The 9206-nt window shown below is 40.1% G+C and overlaps 1 pseudogene; it reads left to right on the top strand.

Moving 5' to 3' along the window:
- RFKP2 (riboflavin kinase pseudogene 2) lies at window positions 1549-1930 on the top strand (annotated as a pseudogene).

Below are 9206 nucleotides of genomic sequence, written 5' to 3'. Positions count from 1 at the left end.
ACATTTCCCTACAGCTATTAATTAGTTTAAACAGTGCACTGCAGTTACCATTTTATGTTTCAACTGTTAAACCCATCAGGACGTAGTACAAAAGAGATTCATTTAAAAATCAATATTATTTTTATGTAATATGTTGATTCAAATGCATCACTAGAAAGGTATTGGTCTTATGGAAATAAAATGTATGTAAGTATGGGTAAAAAGGCAAATCACTAGTTTGATGTGAGAAGTATAATTCTCATGGTAAAATACCAGCATATATATACTCATATAGATTTACTGCTAAACAGAGGGGCCTTATAAAAGTAAATGCACTAAACAGAAGGTTGATAGTTTATTATAATCCTAAAAGGAAAAAATCTAGATTTTGTACTTTTTTGATATTTTGTACATTAATATATTATCATAAACATGAGGACATTTGGGAAATATTATTTTAGTCATTTCCTTTATGAGGTCACAGCATTGTATCATCTTCATTTTTGTATGGCACTGCCTCAATTTGTGGACTAGACACCCTCTGCCTATCATGGTTTTTGTGTTTATATTTTAAGACAGCAGAATAAGTGTTTTTTGAATCTGTAGGTCTCATTTTTGTGTTGGATAACCCTTTCTATCTTTTAACATTTTGTGTTGGATAACCCTTTTTATCTTTTATCTTTTTAACAGTAGATATCTCTGTCCTGCCACAATTTTTTTTTACTTTGGTTCTTTCTTCCTTTAAATGATTGTCAATGTCAGTTTATTCCATTTAGAATATCCTACAACTGTATACTTAAAAGAGATTGCATCTGTCCATACCATTCCATTCTTTCACTATAGAACAGTAAGTAAGCATATGTATGTATTGCATTTTATAGAAAAAACAAAACAGCAAACTTCATCTTTAGTTTTCCTTAAGATTTAAATGAACATTTAGCCGTTCATTTATATGTACCAGTTTTTTAAAGGGCACAAAACTATTGAGCCAGTTAAACTATAAAATAATTAGGAAGTTATTTATTTTTAATGCAAGTATATGTTCTGGAGCAAATCTAAATTGCTGTAGTTGCATATGCACAATGTAATTTGATGCTTGTCTAAAGAGTGCTTGTAGCTTCAGGGAAATGCCCAAAATTTTACTTAAATAATTTTCATAATATGGATTTTTCCTCCTACTAACTGTATGATTTTTGGCCATTTGAGTCTTTTTCTTTATACCAGAAGAAAGTTGAAATCTTTGGATACTTAGGAAATTAAGATTACAGGTTGTGTTGGGCTCCTCAAACAGCATCTTGCATCATTGTTCACTCTAGCAACAGATCTGGTGGTAAATGGGGGTCGGGGTTGGAGTAGAACTATGCAAAAGCTATTTTTAAAGATAACTCATTATGCATCAGTTTCCCCTAATCTGCATAGGTGAATTAGAACTGATTTTAATTAAAATATTTTAAATTATTTAGAAAAGCATATAAAGTTGTTGGAGAAGAGAAAATCATATATAAACTCAGTTGGATTGTGTTTTACTTTTTGCTGTACGTATTTATGGCAAACAATATAGTTTGTGGCTTCTTTATAGAAATATTTAGAAAACATAATTGTAAATGTTAGAAATCCTATACTTGAAAGAAGCCTCATTTATCATGGATTTTTGAAGCAAAGTTAAAAACAAACATGGAAATTGTAAAAATATTTGTGCTTGTTTTGTCTGAATAGATTGCTGCTAATTATGTTCTCCTTAGGTGTGTGAAAGTTATTTGATGTTTTATTGTCATCTTGCATTTTGTTAAATAGCCCTCACTTTTGAAAATCAAAGGGTATCCTTGTTTAAGAATTGTGTCAGCATTTTTCAAAATTTTATATTATTTATGTATTATAATAAATTACTGTAGTACCATTTTGATTAGTCTGAATGTCTTCAGGCCTTGAAATAAATCTTGACCAAGTGATACAACACAAAATATAGAAAGAAATGATCTACTGTAAGTGAGCAGTTATATGATAAAGCAACTACAGCAAAATGTTAATGGTAGAATCTAGGTGTGGGTATATGCATTTACACTATAAAATTATTTCAACTGCTTGTTTGAAATTTTTCTTAATAAAATGTTGAGGGGAAAATGATCATCTCTGAGAGTCAAATACACTAGATAAGTCACTGGTTTTGAGTGATGATGGCAAAGAAAGCTGGGATGTAAGATAAGCAAGCTTGCAACAAGCTTGGTGAGCAAGTATGCATTGATCTCCTTGTTGTTTTTTACTGGTATGGAAGTTCTGGTACAGAGTCCTTTCAATCCCAGAGCATATGACCAAAGACAATCGCAATGGCCGGGTACATGCTGATGTTTTCCATCATAAGCAGTTTAGAAGACGGTGGAGAGATTTCTATTTCTTCCCTGGAGCAAAGGCCCCTGTGCTAAGAGAAGCAGGGTAGGTGTCTGAAAGCTGGCTTTCTAAGCAGATAGTGTACAGTGATCTAGATCAAAGGAGAGATATTTCTCCATTGCATTTAGCAGTGATTATTGGGAGCAAACACATAATCAATACATGAATTCAACACACGAAAACACTTTAGATGTTTCAACCTTCCATCCCTGTGCTGAGACTAGCACATTGTGAAGACAGGATGTAAGTCCAAATCATCTATCTAATGTGAACAAGGTTCTGCACTGCTGGCATAGAAGGCACTTAGCAGCGGGAGGTGACACTTTCATCTTTGCCTAACCAGAGGAGAGGTCAGCTCTTCAGAAACTGATAAGTGTCTTTCTGCTACTTAGGACCCACTTCTCCCTATTATGATAAGTGGCTACGTGCAAAGTTGCCATCTGATCACCACTGTCCACTGAGTTATCTGCAGAGGGGGAGTAAATCCTGAGGAATCTCAAGGTTGCACAGGATGCTGGGAAGTCAGCCAGCCACTTAACATTATCATTCTCGGTGTCCTGTAATAGACTCGTGTAACAATGATCCTGGCTTCCCTTTCCCTGATGACTTGCAGGGAGCATGAATCTAATCTTTTGGGTCACATCACATGGATTTTTTTTTTTTTTTTGAGATGGAGTCTCGCTCTGTCGCCCAGGCTGGAGTGCAGTGGCACGATCTCAGCTCACTGCAAGCTCCCCCTCCCGGGTTCACACCATTCTCCTGCCTCAGCCTCCCAAGTAGCTGGGACTACCGGCGCCCGCCACTACGCCCGGTAAATTTTTTTTTTTTTTTTTTTGTATTTTTGGTAGAGATGGGGTTTCACCGTGTTAGCCAGGATGGTCTCGATCTCTTGACCTCATGATCCGCCCTCCTGGGCCTCCCAAAGTGCTGGGATTACAGGCATAAGCCACTGCGCCCGGCCATGGATCTTTTTTAAAAGTGAAATTGTAGTATGGCATCTGAAATCTGGGCCATTGCAATATCCTCTTAACTGCTTTTCCTTCTGTAGGCTCATCTGCCACACTCTGACCCATGAGTACATCACTGTTAGTAAATCTTCCTAAAATGACTCTAACGTCACTTCCATCTTTAACAAATGGCAGCCCTTTTGTTCAGTCCCTCTAGCCTGGCATTCGAGATTTCCTCAGTGTGGCTCCAGGCTGCCTTTCTAACTGTGTACTCCTGTCACATATACTGACCCTGTTCTGTCAAATCATGCATTTTCCATTTTTATTCCTCCATTTATTCATCCATCTATCTGTTAACTCAATATTTATTTCATGCCTACTATATGACATATCAAATATTTTTAAAAACTGAATAAAACCTATTACTGCCCTTAAAAAGCTCTCATTGGAGGGGGCAGAAATGCAAATGACTGATTATAATATTATGTAATAAATATTATAACAGAGATGTGAACAAATGCCCTAGAACCTTAGAGGAAGCTGATATTAACAGCCCTCTCCCCTGAATTTCGTGCCCCCAGAGCATATTGCTATTCAAATCCTAACCACTTTCCATACCCTACTTATAGCTCTCCTCCATGCTTTTTCACCCCACCCTATGACACTCTCTTCTTCCTAACTCAAAACCTTTATGGTACATACTAGTACTTGAAACTCTAAATAATGTAATAATTAATCAAGCACTACTTTGTAGCATCTATCATCTGTCTTGTTGGCTATTTAATTTGTCATATGGATATCCTATCTCCAACTAAACTCTAGGCTCCTTGAAGACAAGGTCCCTGTATTGTATCCTTCAATGTAATAACCTTGGGGAGGGGCAATTGGTGATAGCCTCTTCAGGAATTAGTTAGGTCTGGGATTTGTTTGCACCTTATTTACAAGCTAATAAGTTAGCCTGTTAACTGTTTTATGGATGGTAGCAAAAGACACAAGATTCATGGCTCAGCAAACAGCATGAGTGTCAGTGGGTGTCCCACAGGGGTGATACAACATGGTCCAGATGGATGCTGCATCTGTAGTGGGTTTCCATTGCAGCTGAGGAATGCAGAGTTTGGAAAATCTACCATTTTTACAGCAAACAATAAGCAAACCTTCTCATTGTCCAAGATGGAGATATTATCTCCTCCCACAGGGCCCACAAACACACCCTGAGAAATGGCCAAGATGGAGAGCAGTCAGGGCCTTGTATTCTTGGCATACACAGTGTATTCGTTTCCCAGGGCTGCCGCAAATTGGAAGGCTAAAACCACAGAAATTTATTGTCTCGTGGTTTTGGAGGCTAAAAATTCAAGGTGTTGGCAGGGTCATGTGCCCTCTGAAACCTGTAGGGTAGAATTTTTCCTTGTGTTTTCCTAGCAGCTGCAGCTGCAGCCCTTCAGTCTCTGCGTTTATCATCACATGGCATTCTCCCCTGTGTGCCTCTGTGTTTCTTCTTTTATAAGGACACCAGCCCTGTTGGATTAAGGGTCCATTCTACTCTACCATAACCTCATCTTAACTAATTATATCTGCAATAACCCCATTTCCAAATAATATTACATTCTAAGGTTGTGGGAGTTAGACTTCAACGTATGTTTTTTGGGAGACATAATTCAATGCATACCACCCAATAAGGCCTGTAGGATATTGAGAGACTTGGAGAACTGTCTCTCTCAACAGAGTAAACTTGCCTCTAATAGACAGCACTGCAAAAATTCTAGAGCCAGGTCATATTCTTCGATAGGTTTAGGTGGCATTCTTACCATTTCATCCAGATGTTATCCTGAAATCCTACTCTACTCTTCTGACTCTCCCTCTATGGTAGAGAGGGGGAGGATGGTTCAGTGTGATTTATTTATGGTCAAGAAGAAATTATGATTCATTAGTACATGATACATGGTCAGCCATATTACAAGAAGTGAATGTTCAGACAAGATTGTCCTGCTATTCAACTAGACCAGTAATGGGAGAGTTAATGGGTGAAAAGCGTCTTTTCTTTGTGGTTCAATGGACCCGTAGAAAATATCTCTTTTCGTTTTTTGATTGCCTACTATGAGAAGCACTCAATTCAGTATGAACATGTGACTGGGCTAAGGGACACTGAGGTAAACTAGTCCAGAAGCCATTCTACCTCACATATCTAACCAGACAAACCCTAGTAGGCACAGATTGTCCCCAGGTGGTAAACAGCACTGTCACAGAAAGCTGCCATCTCATTGAGCTGGTGTAGCATCTGGCTCACAGCAGGAGCTGAATCTGATTTATGTTTGATGAAGAAATGAACCTGCTGTACTAAAAAGTACTGACTTTGGAAATAGTACAAAGGTCACCAGATTACAAAGGGATGCTTTTGAAAAACAACTACAAATCAGAATAACAAGATAGGATTGGGAAAATGATGAAAGGATAGAAAATGAGAAAAATTATGATAGAAATAAATGAATGAAAATGAACTTGGTACAGAGAGGTATGGAATAAAAATGAGGAGTAAAAATCAGTGGAGGAGAAAACAAAAGGAACAGAACAATTAGATAATTTAAAACGTGTATTCCATGGTTTAAGTTGGCCTGGAGACCATCTCACATCTTAGCATCCAACGGCTGAGTTTTGCAGCTCTGCAGAGTTAGCTTCTCCACCAAATTCATCTCAGTAATGCTGTTCAGTGCTCCCAGCTTCTGTGCTGTTTAGCGCTGTGTCATATCAACTTTTTCATAGACTATGCACATTCTGGAATCTGAAATAATAACACTCAACTATTTGCTCATTACCCTAAATCATTCCCAGTTAGAGGCCCCAATGGCCTTGATATAATTTGATAATGGCAATTGAGAGAAATGACTGAGTGTATGTTCTGGAAATTTCTGTCAAAAGCTCAGGTGCTTGAAAGCACAGCTAAAATCCAAATAAAAACAGTGGTGATGGGATAAAACAGAAATCCTACCTTATGTCCGCCACCCCCCAAAAAAGAAATATTTCAAAATTAAATTAGAGGTTATATTATGCCATTTTTGTGTTGCTGTAAAGAAACTCTTCAGGAGGCCAAAGCAGGTGGATCACCTAAGGTCAGGAGTTCGAGACCAGCCTGACGAACAAGGTTAAACCCCGTCTCTACTAAATACCAAAAATTAGCTGGGTGTGGTGGCACATGCCTGCAATCCCAGCTACTTGGGAGGCTGAGGAAGGAGAATCGCTTGAAACTGGGAGGCGGAGTTTGCAGTGAGTTGAGATTGCACCATTGCACCCCAGCCTGGGCAACAAGAGCAAAACTCCATCTCAAAACAAAAACAAAAAAAAGAAAAGAAAAGAAAAGAAAAGAAAAGAAAGAAACTGAGACTGGGTAATTTGTGAGGAAAAGAGGTTTAATTAGCTCATGGGTTTGTAGGCAGTACAGCAAGCATGGTGCCAGCATCTGCTTCTGGTGAGGACCTCAAGGAATGTACAATCATGGTGTATCAGTTCATTTTCACACTGCCATAAAGAACTGCCCAACATTGGGTAATTTATAAAGGAAAGAAGTTTAATTGACTCATGGTTCTGAATGGCTGGGGAGGCCTCAGGGAACTTACAGTGATGGTGGAAAGCAAAGGAGAAGCAAGGCACGTCTTCACAAGGCAGCAGGAAAGGGCGAGTGTGAAGGAGGAACTGTCAAACACTTATAAAACCATCAGATCTCATGAGAACTCACTCACTATCACAAGAACAGCATGGGGAAAACCTTCCCCATGATCCAAAGGCCTCCCACCACGGCCCCCCTCAACACATGGAGATTATGGGGATTACAATTCAAGATGAGATTTGGATGGAGACACAGCCAAACCATATCACATGGTGAAAGGCAAAGGGGAACCAGCACATCACATGGTGAGAGGAAGGAAGAGAGAGAGAGTGGGGATCCAGGTACCACACACTTTCAAACAACCAGATCTTGCAAGAATGAACTCACTCATCACCAAAGGGATAGCACTGAGCTATTCATGAAAGATATGCTCTCATGATCCAAACACCTCCCACCAGGCCCCACCTCCAACTCCAATATTGGGGATTACATTTCAACATGAGATTTGGTAGGGACACAGATTCAAACTATATCATTCTACCTCTGGCCCCACAAATCTCATGTTCTTCTCACACTGCAAAATACAATCATCCTCTACCAATAGTCCCCCAAAGTCTTAACTCAAAAGTCCCAAGTCCCAAATCCAAAGTCTCATCTGTAAATAAGTTCCTGACATCTATGAGCCTGTAAAATCAAAACAAGTTAATTAATTCCAAGATACAATGGTAGTACAGGCACGGAGTAAACACTTCCTTTCCCAAAGGGAGAAATCATCCAAAATAAAGGGCTACAGGCCTCAAGCAAGTTCAAAACCCAGTAGTGCAGTCATTAAAATCTTAAAGCTCCAAAATAATCTCCTTTGACTCCATGTCCCACATCCAGGGCACACTGATATGAGGGCTGGGCTTCCAAGACCTTGGACAACTTCATCCCCATGGCTTTACAAGGTACAGCCCCTGTGGCTGCTCTCATGGGCCGATGTTGAGTGCCTGTCGCTTTTCCAGATGCAGGGTGTAAGCTGCCAATGAATCTATCATCCTGGGGTCTGGAGGACAGTGGCCCCTTCCCACAGCTCCACTAGGAAGTGCCCCTGTCGGGACTCTGCCAAGGAAGATTGGCAGCCTCCTTCACTCTTGAACTCTGTGCACATGCAGGCTTAACATCATGTGGGAGCCACCAAGACTTAAGGATTGCACCCTCTAGAACAGCAGCCTGAACTTTACTTGGGTCCCTTTGAGCTGTGGCTAGAGCTGGAGTGGAAGGGATGGAGGGAGCAATGTCCTGAGGCTGCTCAGGGCAACAGGGCCCTAGGGCCTGGCCCCCCAAAACCATTCTTTCCTTCTAGGCTTCTGGGCCTCTCATGGGAGGGACTGCCTCAGAGATCTCAGAAATGCCTTAGAGAACTTTTTCTCATTGTCTTGGCTATTAGCGTGTGGCTCTTTTTTAGTCACAGATATCTCTTTAACAAGTGGGTTGCTCTGAAGCACTCTTGGATTCTTCTCCCAAAAAAGCTTTTCCTTTCTCTGCCACGTAGTCAGGCTGCAAATTTTCTAAACTTTTACACTCTGCTTCCCTTTTAAATATAAGTTCCAACTTTGGGTCATTTCTTTGTTCCCATATCAGAGTGTAGGTTGTTAGAAGCAACCACGCCACTTCTTGAACACTTTACTGCTTAAAAATTTCCTCCATCAGAGGCCCTAGGTTGTCACTCTTAAGTTCAAACTTTCACAGATCCCTAGGGCATAGACACAATACAGCCAAGTTCTTTGCAAAGGCATAACAAGGGTGACCTTTGCTCCAGTTCCCAATTAAGTTCCTCATTTCCTTTTGAGACCTCATCATCCTAGACTTCACTGTCCATATAACTATCAGCATTTTGGTCACAACCACTTAACCAGTCTCTAAGAAGTTCCAAACTTTTCCTCATTTTCCTGTCTTCTTCTCAGACCTCCAAACTCTTCCAATCTCTGCACGTTACTCAGTTCCAAAGTTGTTTTCACATTACCAGGTATCTTTATAGCAACACCCCACTCCTTGGTACCAATTTCTATGTTAGGCCGTTTTTGCATTGCTGTGAAGAAATACCTGAGACTGGGTAATTTATAAGGAAAAGAAGTTTAATTGACTCTTGGATCTCCAGGCAGTACAGAAAGCGTGGTGCCAGCATCTGCTTCTTTTGAGGGCCTCAGGAAGATTACAGTCATGGCAGAAGGCAAAGGAGAGCTAGTGCATTACATGGCCAGAGGGAGCCAGAGGAAGAGTAGTGGGGGAGGTGCTATACACTTCCAAACAACTAG

The sequence above is a fragment of the Homo sapiens genome, chromosome 3, assembly GCF_000001405.40.
Source record: "Homo sapiens chromosome 3, GRCh38.p14 Primary Assembly".
Taxonomy (NCBI): Eukaryota; Metazoa; Chordata; class Mammalia; order Primates; family Hominidae; genus Homo; species Homo sapiens.
Note: the sequence above shows the minus strand (reverse complement) of the source record. Positions and strands in the feature narration are given on the sequence as shown.